General features: G+C 41.7%; 1 protein-coding gene across 4 annotated transcripts in view, besides 1 other annotated feature; it reads right to left on the bottom strand.

Annotated features, from left to right (window-relative positions):
* RREB1 (ras responsive element binding protein 1) overlaps positions 1-17,540 on the bottom strand; it is a 144,238-nt gene that overhangs the window by 53,343 nt on the left and 73,355 nt on the right. For all 4 annotated transcript variants that reach the window (NM_001168344.2, NM_001003699.4, NM_001003700.2 and 1 more), the window contains exons 3-6: positions 17,392-17,514; positions 16,556-16,768; positions 11,115-11,204; positions 9,316-9,479 (exon numbers count right to left, since the gene is read on the bottom strand). In NM_001168344.2, coding sequence (NP_001161816.1) covers positions 9,316-9,479; positions 11,115-11,204; positions 16,556-16,726 — 425 coding nt within the window. In that variant the 5' untranslated portion in view covers positions 16,727-16,768; positions 17,392-17,514. The remainder of the gene's footprint in view (positions 1-9,315; positions 9,480-11,114; positions 11,205-16,555; positions 16,769-17,391; positions 17,515-17,540) is intronic.
* Positions 16,053-16,506: an enhancer, noted in NCBI's record as "ENSG00000124782_6:7127364-7127817 (NCBI36/hg18 genome assembly) insert fragment". NCBI's record gives its function as "drives selective reporter gene expression in differentiated C2C12 myotubes {active_cell/tissue: C2C12}" and the evidence as "EXISTENCE:reporter gene assay evidence [ECO:0000049][PMID:22144875]".

Genomic DNA, 17,540 nt, shown 5'->3' with positions numbered 1-17,540 from the left:
TCACTAAACGCCCAACATATATAAGGAGATATATACAGTTCATACAACTATGCTGACTACGTATATCCCATTAAAATCACATTTACACGAACCCCTCAACAGTCTTTGCACAGAACATTTATGTCCTTCTAAGTGGAGTTAAATGTGTTAAGATCTCTGAGCATCCCTGAAGGACATTTGCTTTTGATTTGTCCTTCCCCCTTGGATGTAGACAACTGAAATGCTTTTAAGATTTTCTTTTCCATAGAAGTATTTCAAGGGAAACAAAACATTCACACAGTCCGGGGCAGGGTGACCCACAGATTTTTATCCTACAAATAAATATATAATTTATTCCCATGTGAACTGTCCTGATACTTTCCTTCCTGCAGAAGAATATGTCAAGAGGGACAGGGACCTGGTGATTATGACATTAATTTTAAGATGGGACTGACTGAACCTTTGAGTGGTCACCTCCACCCTTCAGAAGCAGCAAGCGCCAGAACGAGCTACATACAGGGTGTCCTCAGAAACTTGATACGACCATGATGGAAGTTCACAGGACCCTTCCTCTTGCGGGGAACTGAGGGTAAAGAAGTGACTGTCCCCTGCTTTCAGAGACACTGTGCTACCTCTGCTCCTTGTCTCATTTAATACTGGCCACCTGTTCCAGATACCCAACTGCAGTTGTGCGCCAAGGGCTGGCTTAGCCTAAGCATCTTAGAGTAGCATGCTAAATTCAGAGCCTTCGTGGTCTCATTTGTCATGGAGCAGGTCACATTTCTGCGCAGCTAATATTTTCTTCAAGCATAATAGGAACATATAAGCCTCTTCCTGAAGCCTATCCTGATGTCCAGGGGCATCCTCAGGGCCTATGTCTCCCATACTTGGCAACAGAAAAAATCGTGCCTATGGCTGCAGGAAAAAAGCCTGCAACGAAACAACTAGATGATGTTCCAAGGATTTCCCTTCTTCATCTTCACCCTTCTTTTTGAGGCAAAGTCTTGCTTTGTTGCCCAGGCTGGAGTGCAGCGGCGTGATCTCAGCTCACTGCAGCCTCCGCCTCATGAGTTCAAGTGAACTCAACTTCCTGAGTAGCTGGGATTATGGGTAATCTGGCTAATTTTTGTTTTTTTAGTAGAGATGGGGTTTTGCCATGTTGGCCAGGCTGTTCTCAAACTCCTGTCCTCAAGTGATCCACTCACCTTGGCCTCCCAAAGTACTGGCCCATCTTCACCATTCTAATGACAGCTGAAATCAGAACACATCCCTACTCTTCAAAGAATCAGTGAAGTTAGTCATGAAAGCTTGCCCCTGCCAGGGTCTTAAGCATGCCCTTAAATGTAAGACATGCTCCACAACTCTTTAGAATTAAAAGTCTACAGTCTGTAAAATAAGGAGCAAAGTGAAAATTAATTTCCTATTTTCCCAAGGCAATTTTAAAAGGAAAATACCAGTTTTAGAGACAGGCTTTATTCCAAATGAGGCACATTTCTATCCTCTGTTTCAAGTATCATTTCTTCACAGCTTTGCAGCTCAGCACTTCCTGGAACAAGCTTTGCAAACTGCAAAGCTCAATGCCCTTTTTCCTACATTGAGCTCTCCCAGAGGCGTGCTCTGGCTCAGTTTCCCAAGTTTGTTTTGGAAGACGAGCACCACTCAATCCAAATTTTCAACGTGGGAGCAACTGATAAAGAGTTCTGGGAAGTTAAAAGCTGGATCCACAGTGATGTTTCCGTGCTACATGTTTTGTACTTGATGGTAACCTACTCTTCTGCTCAGCAACTGAGCTGTGGTTAGAAAGGCTTGGGACAAAGGATTTTCAAACCTCAAACACATGAGAATCTGCATACAGGCAAGTGGCAGCTCACAAAGCTGTACCAGATATAGTAATAAATTAAAAAGGTCTTTACCCTAACCTTTCTCAAAATAAATTAAAATAATATAAGTAATAAATTAAAAAGGTCTTTATCCTAACCTTTCTCAAAATAAGTTGGAATTAGCATCACTCTCATCTCCCTACTTGCCAAAATATAATTACTTTTAAAAGATCAAGTAAATTTATTTACTAGAAAAAAGTATAGTAAGTTATAGGCTTTATCAGTGCTACAAAGCAACTGTCAATGACTACACATAATTTAATATGCTACCTTCATTCTGTGAAGTTTACTTTATTTGACCAATATAACAATTCTGAGTGTCCTCTTATAAAACTAAGATAAAGGAAACTCTACAAAAAGACTGAGTAGCATTACAAATACAGATAACTAACAAATACTCATAAAATGACCACAGGCCAAAGGAAATAGAGTGAGTTGCTCTATAAAGGCACCTCAATATCAGCTAAGAGTAACTTGAAACTTGAAAGGATGTAGTCCTCAGAGTCTGTGTTGTGAGGCCGAGTGTTTCAGCAAAAAAAAAAAAAAACAAAAAAAAAAAACGAAAAAAAAAACCAAAAAACAACGAACTTTGGGGTGGAGCCCAGATCTGCCTCAAGCAGGCAACACCGGAGGGCTGGGCTCATCTGGAAGAGTGTGCACACACACGGAGGTGTGCATCCCACGTGTGCGTGTGGACAGCCTTCAGAGCAGGGGGTGAGCAGGAGGAGGGGGAAGGGTAAGCTGTGTAGTTGTCAACTGTGCTGTTGAGGAGCAGAGCACAGACCAGCCTTGTGGAATCAAGCCTTCAGAGAAATGAAACTCCAGAAATCCACGCTACAGAGAATCATGCCGCAGCAGAGGGCCCACCCAATCTGTGCCCCTCAGGGGAAGAGTCAAAAATCAGAGCACAGGGCCATGTCAGATGAAACTGGCACAGTTGAGGGAGGGCCTCAAACGGGTTACAAACAAGATGGAACGGAGGCACCTGGGTGTGGGTGTCCTGGGAAGCTGAGGCAGAGGTTCTCTGATCCCTCAGCTTAGCATCGGCTCTGGAGACCCCATGAGGGAATTCCTGTGCACTACCCAATCCCAGCAGGTGCCAACAGACCTTGGGAAGCAGTGGTAGCGGAAGGGAAACAAGAAAAAGAACTTTGATCTTAAGCACTAAACTCTCACAGATCGACTGATTTCCTTTCATACTTCTCAGGACCTGGGTTGCATTACTCTTTTTAATTCCTGCACACACATCCCAGGGCAGTTCTGGCCCCTGATTAACGTAACACAGGCCCACAGGTATGTGCTTGGGAGAGATCACAGCTCACTACTAGAGTCTCAGATTCTGGAACAGATCCACCGGGGCAAATAAATCTAACTCCATTCTCTCTGGCACATTTTTGTAAGTGTTCTCACATTTTTATAATTTTTTTCAAAAGTACAGTTTCGCTAACAAATGAAATGGTAATGACTTTTATGTGATTTACCAAAACCCAAATGTTCTTTTAACTCATTATTTGCAACTTTCTGCAAAGACATAATAAATGTAGTATGATAATCCCTAGTATTTCAAATATATTATTACTTAAATTACAGATTAAGTGTAGCAAAAAGTAAAACAAGCACACTTAAAAGAAATCACTCTCAATTTACTCAATTTATTTTCTGGCATTATATGAATGTTTACTCAATATATTTTCCCTCTCTGGCACATACAACAATAAAAGAGTAGTAACCATTACTGATATGTACCATTTAACAAGCACTACCCCAAGTGCTTTGCATGTAGTATTTACTGATCATCACAACATTCCCATGCGGTAGGTACGGATAATACTACCTTTTACAGATGAAGTAATTAGGACACAGAGGTGTCAGGTAACTTGTCTGGGATCACACAGCTAGTAGTGGAACACTTCCTTAGATTGTCATTACGGTGGTTTCAGCTCTAACAATACAGACTCAGAAACTCCCTCTACCTAGGGCATGTCCATAGTACACTGTAAACCTTCAGAACCCTTTTACAAACATTATTAAATCTGAGCCCAAGTTCAATATGAGGTAATACTAAGCCATTCTGTTAAAGTGTCAAAAATTTAAGAGATTTCCACAAAGTTCTGCAGAACTAAGATTAGAACTTAGCCCCAATTTAGTCCTCTCCTCTGATTCAAGGTGCCTCAAAATAAGGAAAATCAGTACCAGAAAACCAACAATTAGCACAAACAAGTAGCACCAAGGCCTGCTTTTCTTCTGTTCCCCACGCTGGAGTGCAGTGGCAAGATCTCGGCTCACTGCAACTTCCACCTCCTGGGTTCAAGCGATTCTTGTGCCTCAGCCTCCTGAGGAGCTGGGACTACAGGCACACATCACCACACCCGGCTAATTTTTTGTATTTTTAGTAGAGACATGATATTGTTATGTTGGCCAGGCTGGTCTCAAACTCCTGGCCTCAAGTGATGGGCCTGCCTCAACCTCCCAAAGTGCTGAGATTACAGGTGTGATCCACTGTACCCGGCCAATGCCTGCTTTTAAAAAAATATTTATAAACAACTCCAAAATACAATGACCATAAATGAGAAATGTATCTTAGAATAGTACCAAGGGCTATGCTATAAAAAATTCAAAATAATTTCTAAGACTATCCAAGTAAACCCAAACAACACAGAGTAATAAAATTCAGTCAAAATGGCTGCCCCCAAAACTATCCCATGCTCACTATACATAGAATATGCTACTGGGATGACAGAAATAGTTTAACATTGAAAATAACGTTCTATAACAGCACAGAATTGTGTTGAGAATGAGGAAAAGAGTGAAAGAGTGCTTTTTTTCTAATATGCAAAGTGACACAAAAGCTACATCAATTATTTCTCACATACAGTCTGTGCGTCCCAATCAGAAAATCTGAAATCTGAAATGTTTCAATATTCAAAACTTTTTGAGTGCTGACATGATGCCACAAGTGAAAATTCCACACCTTACTTCATGTGATGGGTCCCAGTCAAAATTTTGTTTCATGCACAAAGTTATCAAAAATATTGCATACAATTATGTTCAGGCTATGTGTATAAGGTGTATATGAAACATATATAAATTTTGTGTGTAGACCTGCATCTGTGTCCCATCCTCAAGATACCTCATTATGTATGTGCAAATATTCCAAAAAAACAAAACAAAACAAAAAAACAACAAATCAAAATCCCAAACACTTCTGGTCCCAAGCATTTTGGATATGGGGTACTCAATCTGTGGTAGTTAAAAGCATGGCCTCTGAAGCCAGATATCCTTTATTCAAATCTTAGCACTGTCTATTACTTTAGTCCTTTCCTCATTTGCAAAATGGGATAATAATTATACAATCCTTACAAGGCAGAGTACATAAAAATAAATGGAGATCAATAAGGAAATGGAAGACTTGAACAATGCTATAAACCTACTAGACCCAACAGCAAATCTACAGAACACTCCACCCAACAACAGCAGAATACACATTCTTCTCAAACAGATGGAACACTCTCCAGGATAAACCATATGTTAGGTGATAAAACAAGTCTCAGTACATTCACAAAGTTTGAAATCATGCAAAGTATGTTCTCCAACTATAATGGAACGAAACTAGAAATCAGTAACAAATTAATAGAATGAATTTCCCCGACCATAATGGAATGAAACTAGAAATTAATAAGAAATTTGAGAAGTCACAAATTTGTGAAAACTGAAGACCACATTTCTAAATAACCAATGGGTCAAAGAAGAACTCACAAGGGAAATTAGAAAATATGCTGAGATGAATGAAAAAGAAAACACAACATACAAAAACTTATGGGAAACAACTAAAGCAATGCTTATACGAAAATGGATAGCTATAAAAGCCTGTATTTAAAAAGTTCTCAAGTCAATAATCCAGCCTTATACTTTGCTATAACACCGGAAAAAGGTCAAACTAAACCTAAAGAAAGCAGAAAACGGATAATAATAATGTTTAGAACAGTAATTTAATGAAACAGAGAACAGAATAGAGGGAAATCAATGAAACCAAAAGTTGGTTATTTGAAAAGATCAATAAAATTTACAAATGTTTAGCTAGATTGACTAAGGGAAGAAAAGAAGATTCAAATTATTATAGTTAGGAGTGAAAGAAAGGAAATTATTACTAACTACAGAATAAAAAGGATTACAAAAGGATATTATGAGTTATTGTATGCCAACCAATTATATCACTTGATGAAATATCCAAAATTCCTAGAAAGACACAAATTGTTGAAACTGACTCAAGAAGAAACAAAATCTGGGGTGAGGCGCGGTGGCTCTCACCTGTAATCCCAGCACTTTGGGAGGCTGAGGCAGAAGGATTACTTGAGGTCGGCAGTTCAAGACCAGCCTGGCCAACATAGCAAAACCCCATCTCTACTAACAATACAAAAATTAGCCAGGAGTGGTGGTGCACGCCTGTAGTCCCAGCTACCTGGGAGGCTGAGGCAGGAGAATCACTTGAAACCGGGAGGCGCAGGTTGCCGTGAGCCGAGATCACGCCACTGCACTCTGACCTGGGTGAAAGAATGAGACTCTATCTCAAAAAAAACAAACGAACAACAACAACAACAAAAGAATAAAGGACAAAAACAACCCAACCATAGATGCAAAAAAAAAAAAAAAAAAAAAAAAAAATCATCTGACAAAATCCAATACCTTTTCATAATAAAAACACTCAAAAAACTAGGAAAAGAAAGAAACTTTCTCAAACTGGTAAGGAACATTTATTTAAAAAACCCACAACTAACATCATATTTAATGGGGAAAGACTGAATGCCTTCTCCTTAAGATCACAAACAAAAAAAGAATGTTCATTCTCTTCACTTCTATTTGACATTGTTTTGCAGGTTCTAGCCAGGGCAAGTAGGCGAGAAAATGAATAACAGACATGATATAGGATAAGGAATCCACTAAGTAACTACTAGAATGAATAAATGAGGTAAGGTTGGAGGGAACAAAATCAATATATAAATTTTAACTAGCCATGAACAACTGAAAAATTAAATTAGAAAACTCTACTTATAATAGTGCCAAAAATAATAAAATACTTAGAAATAAATTTAACCGATATAAAACTTGTACTCTGAAAACTATGAGACGTTGAAAGAAATTCAGGACGACTTAACAAATGGGAAAACATCCCATGTTCATAGATCGAGTTAGTATTGTTATGATGGCAATACCCCCAAATTGAAAGTTTTAACAACAGTTTGGCAATTCCTCGACTTAAACATGGATTTACCATATGACCCAGCAATTCCATTCCTAAGTGTCTACCAAGAAAAATAAAAACACAGGCCCACACAAAATGTCGTACAACAATGTCAACAGCAGCTTTGTTCGTAATAACCAAAAAGTTGAAACAACCCACATGTCCATCAGCTGATCAAGGGATAAGTAAAATGTATCATATTTCTACAATGAACTATTATTTAACAATAAAAAAGAACCTGAAGCCCACTGAAGTGCACACTTTACACGGTATAATGTATGATGTATGAATTATACCGTAAGATGTAAAAAAAAAAAATGAAAAGTGAATACAGACATGTGTTCACGTAATACAGATATGACACCCAGAGCACCACAGTTTCAGCAATGATTATTTGTAAAAACACACTGCCACACAGGTTATTGTAGAAGACAATAACTACGCCTTTTATAGCTGTGTTTATTTCAATCATGTCTCAAAATAGAAAATGTCTGAATCAGGAGTGATTGGGCCTACCATCAAGAGATGTCTCATGGAGGATCACAGTGGTCAGTGGTTAGGGCCAAAACGCCACTAGGAGGGGCCTCTTTACCAATGTGCCCACTTGCCCCTGCCAACTTGGAGCTGGCCCATGGGGAGTTCCACTGAGCAGAGGCTCAGCAGGAAAAAGTGATGGAACCCCCAAGAGGGGAACAGGCAATACCTCTAGGACCAGATTCTGAGAAGGGCAAATATGTAAAGGACAAAGGACTTTTTGGGGGTGTGGGGTGTAGAACGAGCAGACCTAAACAGAAGGCAAAAATAAAGGATACCAACAGGCCAACATGGTGGTAAAAAAATAAAAAGCTAAAATGCAAAATATTGTATTGTAAAATAGTAACACTATTCAATTCCTTTGTACCCAAAAACAGTCCCAGGAAGAGATGAGGGGCAAAGAGAATAACCCATCAGGACTGAAATTTATGAGAAAATAAAAAGCAAAACACTTTGTAAATTCTTAAAATATTCACTTTTCATGAAGTCATACTATACCTCACTTCTAAGAGTTTAGACTGAGATATACACTGGCTTTAAATTACTGCAGCATTACTTAGAAACGCAAATAATAATAAACACTGAGTGCTTAGTTTGTGCCAGGAACTGTGTGCTAAACTAATTAGCACCGAATCCTCAGCCTTATCCAGTGATGTAGGTACGATTAAAAATCTCGTTTTGGGGGGTCAAAATAGCATGAAAGAAAATAATAAAACAAAAAAAATCTCATTTTAAAGATGAGAAACTGGAGTACAAAGAGGTTAAGTAACTTGCTTGAGGATAGAAAATTTACAAGTAGCAGTTGAGACTTGAATTCAGGTGCCTAGTTCCCAAATCAAGAAACTTAACCGCTGTATCAGTATGTCCCATGTGTACGTGTAATAAACTGGTCCAACTCATTTTAGTGTTTATATAACCAAATATAACTAGCATATCAATTTTATAGTAGTTATATAAAGTTTTCTTTTGAAATAAACATGTAACAAATGTGACTCAACTTTTTTAAAAGAAAGCAGAATAAGGACTGGACAGGAATATGGAAAAGTAAACCCCTCAAAACATGTATGATCAGCCTATAAACTCTATTTTCCATAGGTTCACCCCAAACAATTTTAATATGTCTACCACTCTACTGTCTCCCACTTGAGTGAGCATCTTTCTCTCTCAGGAATTAATGTCCTGATGTTTATCAGATTTTCTTTTTCTTAATTTTATCCTATCTTATCCTGAAGCTCCAGGACCAGTCCACTTAACTATTTATTAAAAGGTCCCAGACTTTTTGTTTTTATTTGCAATGAAAAGGTCTGTCAGGAATCTGGTAGGCATATGCAAATATTTTTTAAATGGCAGGGTTACGTGGATGCTACTCATGGAGAGTTCCTCTCTTACATGTGATAATCTGCCCACTTCTAGCACCCAAACAAACAACCAACTCCAATTGGCAGAGGGGAAATGACTCTGTGTTTCATCCTGAGGAACTCTGAAGGGCCACAGACCTTGCCAAGGCACTTCACCTCTAATACCCCAGAGATAGTGTGCATCTCTGGTTTTTCCATACAATGGACAGAGCTCCAGAACTCTCTGTACCTTTAGGCAAGTCTTCTGAAGGCTCAGAGGCCACTGTCCTGCCTGCCAACCTCCAAGTACCAGCCAACCCCCCAAGCAAAGGGCGCCCTCACCCACCTGTGCATGTTCCCATTGGTGGTAAATGACTGGCCACACACAGTGCACTTGTAAGGCCTCTCGCCAGAGTGCACCAGCATGTGGCGATCGAGGGAGCTGGCCGAGCTCAGTGACTTTCCGCAGATGCTGCATGAGTGGTCGGCTCCTCCAGTGTCTGTGTTGTGCTGCAGAAAGCAATGGTCACAGCGGTCACTTAAGAAAGTGCATCAGAAGCTCAGCTCTTAGGAAATGCAGATCCAGAGCTTTATTAAAAAAACCAATCAACTTTCTTGGCTATGTGTTTCTCTTTCATTTTAAATATCTTTCTGAAGGGGTAAAATGTATCAGGAAAACAGGCAAATAAATATTTTGTATGATATTCCTCCATTCCCACATTGTTTTGAAAACTACTTCTACTGAAAGGCTCAGAAAGAAGTAGAGCCTTCCCAGGTCTTGCTTTGAACCACATACAGATTCAGTGACCACATATATTAACTCCTACAAGCCGAAGGACACTCAACAGTGAAGGAAATATGTCCTTCCATTAAAGGAGTCAACGTCCCTTCTTCAGATTTGATGACTCAGGCCTGCCGTCAGAGAAAGAGAACTGAAACCTGCACAGGGTAGAGTTTTGGCCTCTGAAAGACGGTAAAAAGGAACATTTCTATTCAAACCCGAGTTACTTTAGTAACTTGATGTTAATTCAGTACTATGTCATGATTTTACTAGGTCATCAATCCTTCACTGTTCTACACTCATCAATATTTTGTCATGAATTGGCCACAGCAGGAGAAGAAGGGTAAATCTCATAATAAAGGAGAAAAGCAAAAAAAGACCCCAAGCTGAGTAGATTTCCTTCTGTGTTATGTACGTTTATACTAATATAAACGTGCTGAAACCCCGTCTCTACTAAAAATATAAAAAAATTGGCTGGGCGTGGTGGTGGGCGCCTGTAATCCCAGCTACTTGGGAAGCTAAGGCAGGAGAATCACGTGAACTCAGGAGGCAGAGGTTGCAGTGAGCTGAGATCGCACCACTGTACTCCAGCCTGGGCGACAGAACGAGACTCCGTCACACACGTGCGCGCGCGCACACACACACACACACACACACACACGTGTGGGGGGGAGCGATTCTATTTTATTTTATTTATTTATTTTGAGATTTATTTATTTTGAGACAGAGTCCCGGTCTGTCACCCAGGCTGCAGTGCAGTGGCGCAATCTTGGGTCACTGCAACCTCTGCTCCCGGGTTCAAGTGATTCTCCTGTCTCAGCCTCCCAAGTAACTGGGATTACAGGTGCATGCCACCATGCCTGGCTAATTTTTGCATTTTTGGTAGAGATGGGTTGGCCAGGCTGGTCTGGACCATGTTGGCCAGGCTGGTCTCCAAATCCTGATCTCAAGTGATCCGCCTATCTTGGCCTCCCAAAGTGTTGTGGTTACAGGCATGAGCCACTGCACCCAGCCAAAAAGGAATTCTGTGTTGACCTAAGACTTTGTCACAGGAATATGCATATACAAAAGTCATTTCATAACCACCTCCCAAAATTATTTAAAAAACTAAATTTAAATTAGGCACAGCTACAGCTCATCCATTAAAATCCAATTACCCTGCCCTGTGCTTAAGGAAGAATAATTTAGATCAAAAATAGGCTGGTCCGAAGGTACTGAGTTATCTCAACTGATTGCTCACAGTGAGTGTTTAACTCCTTGTTCTACTCTTCCCCCTCTTCTCATTACTGCACTTGACTAAAATAAAATAAAATAAAATAAAATAAAATAAAATAAAATAAAATAAAAGAACAGTGGGAATCTACCTGGCGAATGTGCATGGTCAGCTGGTGCTGGGTAGTGCAAATCTTCTCACACAGGGGGCAGTTATAGGAAGACTTCTCCTCTTTCGTTTCCTAAAAAGAAAGATTAAAAGGGAAGATAAATTTCAACTCACAGTCAACAAGTGCCTTTTCTTTCTGTAATAAGTGTAATAAGCACTTGTGTCTATGTAGCTGAGAGCATGGGCTCCAGAACCTGCCCAGGTATAAGCTTGTGCAAGTCACGGCCCTGTCTGCCTCAGTTTCCTCATTTGAAAGATGGGAAAAACAGTACCACCTACCATACCATGCTGTGATGCAGGTTAAATTACCACATGCCAAGCACTAGAACAGTGCTGGGATCATAGTCAGTACTCAATCAATACTAGCATTCTAATTACACAGACACCACTTAATAATCTGTGATGGTGAAAAATTAAGCATTGACTCACGGAAGAGCTAGAAAGGAATACATTTCTCCCCAAGTCCAGCCTGGGCTATTTTGCAACAGGTTTCAGGGTCTCCAAGAACACCTGAGAGATAACAAGGTTCTCATCAGAAGAGCCCACCCTACAAAGAGGGAAGCCCTCAGTGCCTAGCTGTGCACCCAGTGGGCATGCCCCTGCCCACTGCTAGCATCTGCTTAACACTGCTCATAAATACTCAACAAAAACATCACACTGAGAAAATTGCTGTCCTTATCACGACAACTTTGATAGGAATGCCAACCCAAACTGAAGACTTCCACAGAAGGTGACAAAAGAACCAGCTCACTACTTGGTGAGGGGGCTCCTTTTATGTTCCCTCAGAATGCACAGGTCAAGCAGTATGTTTTGTCTTTTTCAGAAAAAGCCAATGTCGTTCACTAACCCTATGCTACAGATCCTCTTTCCAAATAATTCATGCAGAGTTCTAGGCTGTGTGCATCATTGACTCCTCACCCCCACAGTCCCTAAGACCACGGGTTCCTGTCTCAATACCCAAAACTAACTGGACCTAGGCTTGGATACCTCTCCCAGTAATTTGGAGTTGGGATGCTCAGAGATTTCTGAAGATCAGCAGAATCACCTGGGGGGTTGGTTTCTATGCATTTAACCAGATTCTGGACGTGCCACATCGGAGTCACTGGGGGACTGGGGTTGGGGGAGTAGAACCCCAGAAATCTGTTTGTCTCACAAGCTCCCCAGATGATGGTGATATGTGCCCAGGTTTGAGGATGGCTAAGTTACTAAGTTGGGTGATTATGAGCACTTGAATTGAAAGTTCATGGAGAGGTAGGGCTGAACCCAAGGAGGCTTGCACCTCGGCAAGCCCAAGCCAGGAGAAAGCAGTGTGGAAGATGTCAGTGTTAACCCAACGGGATGGAGGGCACCGTCCCTAGGGCTGGATGCTCTGTCTAGGCTCTGGGTCATTTCCTATCCTCGGGCATCTTTCAATAGACCTCTTTTTACTTGCATTCATTTGAATGAGTTTCTGCTCCTTGCAAATAACACCAATTACTGCACACTTACCATGTGCTAAACTCTATACAGAACCATCAGGGTTTTTTCACAACCACTAATAGACAAGCATTATTATGGATCCCATTTTCTGGATGCGGAAACTGGGGTACACAGAGGCAAGTAACCTGCCCCAAGTCAGAGAACTATTAAGTGGTAGGCACAGCATTAAAACCCAGGCCAGCTGCTCCACAGCCCATGCCCTAAGCCACTATGCTCTATATAAAGTCTGACCAAAAGGATTAACCCCAAGGCACGGAAAGGAAACACTCTTGTGGTTGCTTATGGGAGATGATGAAAATAAAAGTCACCCTGAAGACTATAAAAGCAAATGGCGCCATAAACCAGACGGGTGGAATGAAGGCATGATGATGTCTAGCTCACAGCCACCTTCCCTCTCACTCCTCTTCAAAGACAAACAAGTCTCATTCTGAGCAATAGGAACTTTTTCTTTTTTTTTTTAAATGGAGTCTCACTCTGTTGCCCAGGCTGGAGTACAGTGGCACGATCTTGGCTCACTGCAACCTCCGCCTCCCGGGTTCAAGTGATTCTCCTGCCTCAACCTCCCAAGTAGGTGGGACTACAGGTGTGCGCCACCACACCTGGCTAATTTTTGTATTTTTAGTAGAGACGGGGTTTTGCCATGTTGGCCAGGCTGGTCTTAAACTCCCGACCTCAGGTGATCCACCCGCCTCAGCTTCCCGAAGTGCTGGGATTACAGGCATCAGCCACCGTGCCCGGCCAAAACTTTTTTCTAATCTATGGAATTGGGTCTGAGAACTAGGTATGCTCTACATTTTCACACAAAAAGAATTAAGGATATGGATTCTACAAAACATGAACATCCTAGAGATAGTGGAAAAAACAAATTCCCAGTCGTACTCATTTATCATACTTCTAGTTCTTTCTGAGGTATAATGGGGGAGGGGGTGTCATACCTTCTCTGCCCAGTTCTACAACTGCAGTCGGAGTAGAGCTGGCCAAGGACCCCCATGGGGGCATGGGTGTGGGGAGAAACAAAAGCAACAGCAACAAAGTAAGACATAACAAGGAGGGATGTCTCACAGCCAGGCCAAAAGTTGGGGATGAGTTCCACCTCCGGGGTATTGTTGTCAAATTAGTAGATAGGCAATTTTACATACACAAAATTTTTAAAGTTACCAACAGGATGGTGATACATCAATAGGATGTAAATACATGTTTTAAAAAAAAAAAAAGGCCTCCAAGTGACCAGCCACAGGGAGACAAATTTGTTTAAAAAATCATCTTGCATTCACCTTGCAATAGACAGCAGGCACACTGTGCGGCTGGTGGGGCTGACTTGTGTTGACTCTGGGGTGACTCATGAACTGACACCCCAGCCTTCTCTGAGGCTGGCAGTGCTGTGCTGCAGGCCATCATACAGGTCCACAAAATCCAAGTTATATGGGAGGAGGTCTACAGACCCAGATGTAATCTTTTAAAATGAACCATGTCAAGCATGGTGGCTCATACCTGTAATCCCAGCACTTTGGGAGGCTGAGGTGGGAGGATGGCTTGAGCCCAGGAGTTTGAGACCAGCCTGGGCAACATAGTGAAACCTCGTCTCTGCAAAAAGTTTTTTTTATAATTAAAAAAAAAAAAAGCCAGATATCACAGCAATTAAGACAGTTTACACACATTAGCTGTATAGTTTATGAAACTAGGAATCAACCATGCTCTGGTTGAGAAATAGAGACCCTGTCTCTATTTTAAAACATAATAATAATAAAAAAAATAATAATAATAAAATGAACCTACTAGAAAAGACAGCACTGTGATACTGGAAGAGAGGCCCTCCTGGAGAATTCTGTTTTTGTTTTTTATAGGACATGGAGGTCTCATAATATTGCCCGGGCTGGCCTTGAACCCCTGGGCTCAAGCAATCCTCCCACCTCTGCCTCCCAAGTAGCAGGGATTAGAGACATGCCACCACGCCCAGCACCCTAATGGAGAATTCTGAATCCAGTTATTGCAGCCATGCTGGTGGAAGGAGCACACCTCCTGAGCTGAAAGATAAAATTAGCAGCTAATGTGATAACTAACCATTCCATAATGAAACAATCTGGCACCCTTGTCAGCATCCGGCTGTGGCTAATCTCTCCTGGAACTCTAAGCTCACACCAATGGGACTTTCCCCAGGCTCCGTCTCTCAGCACTCCCTGTCTAGTCCACAGGTAAGGAGAATGCTTCCTTCTTCCCCATACTCTCTCCCCACTGAGTTTTGTTTTTTTAGATTAAGAACTGTATTTACCAGGCTACCTCTGGCCAGGACCTCCATTTCAAAAGCAAACTCAGCATACCAGATCCCTGGAGAAGAAAGGAGGGGGATGAAAGGCAGCCCTGCCCCACCTGCACAGTTGCCTCCTCACACCTGAAGAGGCAGCCTCCAGTTAGCATGCAAACATGGGAGGTGCTGTGGGCATCCTCCAGGGCCCTAACCACGGTCTCTGATCTGGAGGCTGGACTTGGGACAACTCAGAGCTATTTGAGGAAAAGCTCTTCCTATCACTTCACTTGTTCCTGGTAGAGCAGAAGGATGAGGACGACAACCTTGTCTGTCTTATTCTTCCCGAAATGCCTGGCACCTGGTACAGTAGCTAGCTGGATATAGGAACTGGGTACATATTGTCCAATGGGCTGATGGATGGAGAGATGGATAGATGGATAGTCACATGAGAGTGGAAATAAACCTTTTCTTCTCAGAGCTAGCACTCCTTCTCGACTCAGGCCACAGTCATACAGGCTGAGTATTTTCTCAGGCACCCACAGGAAGAGAGGCACAAGGAGAAAAGGGAAAAAAGAGAGAGAGAAAGGAATCAATGTTCCAACCCTAAAACATCACTGAACTCTGCCAAGTCCCCATCCTTCAGCAAGGTGTGGAGAAATGCATCCTCCCCCATACTGCTGGCAGGGTTTGGGGCTGGTACAACTTTTCTTGTAGGGCAAGTTGTATCGAAAGCCTTAATTAAGGCTCTACTTCTAAGAATTTATAGAAAACCATCATATTAATACTCAGAGAATTCTGTATAAGGACAGCCACAGTAGGATTATTTATAAAAAAAGAAAATTAGTTTACAAAAGCCCAGCAGGTTTGCTTTCTCATCCATTGCTGGTTCCTGGACAAATGCAAGACCACCTTCTCTCCAAGGATTTAGTATAGTCTCATTAAATTAGTTAAACCAAACTTTAAACACGAGGAAGTCAACTCGTATTACATGGATCCAGAGTTGAAATGAGAAGTATTCACTCTCTGCCTCCTTCCACCACCTTCCTTCTTTCTGTTCAACAGTATGTTGCCAAGACAGCAACAACTTTTCAAGGAAATGTCCCATCTTACATTGAAGATTCATTTATTTCCCAACAGAGAAGACATCAACTTTTGTAACAGCATTAACCCTTCTCAATTCCACCTATTTACTTTACCCTGTTCTGATCTGATGCCCAATGAAAATCCAAGATGACTAAACAGCATCTTAACTGGAATTATCTGAAGCCAAATTCTGTGCTTTTTCAAGGATAGAAAGCTGAACGGCAGCCCTAGCACAGGCAATACTTATTTGCTACCTAATCTGAAGATACTTAAAAATAGCCAGCTGTGTGAATGAGGAAACAAACCACATCACAGAAATCAGTGATGTTCCCTGCCATGGCCATCAAGTGAAGAAAGCTTGAGTTAAAATCCAATGGTGGGGCCAAAAATAAGGGCACTTCCACCAACATCGACACCACAGCAAAGAAAACCTTCTCCATGAAAGGAAACTAACATAAGCCATAAAAATTTTGCCCTTGAAAAATGATCAAGGCCTCTGGGTATGTCCGTTTTATTCCCAATTCTTCCAAGGTTTTATCATAGGAAACTCGGAAACATCTCCCAATGTTCTCATGGATTGAACCCACCAGAGGTCACCACTAGGTGTGAACACTTACCTGGTTCCTTCTGCCAATCCGATTTGGTCCTGGAGGCTTCGAGGGGGACTTGATCCCCTGGGGGCTCCCGCCATTCTCTGTGACCTTCCCTACACTCATGACCGCCGACATCATGGTGTTGATGGAAGATAGGTCTGAACCTTCCAAGCCAGCGGGCGAACTTGACGTCATTGGGACAGGGGTTTAAGCTTCTAAGAAGCCTCTGCTATAAAACTGAAAATTGGAAATTGCTGATGTGATCATGGGGAAGTTTAGGCTTCTGTCATTGCCAGGGGGCGCTGGCCATGGCTACTCTAATTGTAATTCAGGTCAAAAACATCCAACGCTGTCTTTCTCCAGTTAAAGGCCACATTCACGCCCAGAGTGATGGAAGCTTTCATTTAAACCAAGTCTTGGCATACCAAGGACGAAGTAACCTTGCCTCCTTTCTGAGTGTGCACTACCAACAGGACTCAAACTCATGAGAGGCAGGTTTCTCTACCTTTCCTAATCTGGGTTAGGCAGAGTGGGAAAGGCCAAGCCAACAATGACAAAGCCCAGAAAGCTGCCGCCCTGCAGCACCCTCCTAAGAACCTAGGCTTATTCACTACTACACAAATGTTCCAGACCTAAAACTAGTGATGAGAAACATCAGGTTTCATTTAACTCCACTGCTGCAATACAGTGATTCTGATGGGGAGCCTGAATTTTATAAGAGATTTAAGAAGCCAACGCTATCAGAGTTACAAACAAATTTCAAATTGACATATCAAAGCCTGTTTCTTAAAAAATATGTATAAAGCAGGTAACGTACCCTAGGAGGGAAAGAAGAACCCTCCCGCCACACTGCTGATTACCTCCATTTTCTGACCCACTGATAGACTATGAAACTTTCCCCTGCTGTAGCTATCATTCACACGGAGTAGAAAATGAGTCTGTGTTGACCTCTTGTCTTCTTCTCTTGGTAGTACTCGTTGACACTGGAAGGGAAGCAAAGGCCCAAAGT

The sequence above is a fragment of the Homo sapiens genome, chromosome 6, assembly GCF_000001405.40.
Source record: "Homo sapiens chromosome 6, GRCh38.p14 Primary Assembly".
Classification (NCBI taxonomy): Eukaryota; Metazoa; Chordata; class Mammalia; order Primates; family Hominidae; genus Homo; species Homo sapiens.
The sequence above is the reverse complement of the archived record's forward strand: the minus strand, read 5'-3'. Positions and strand labels throughout refer to the sequence as shown.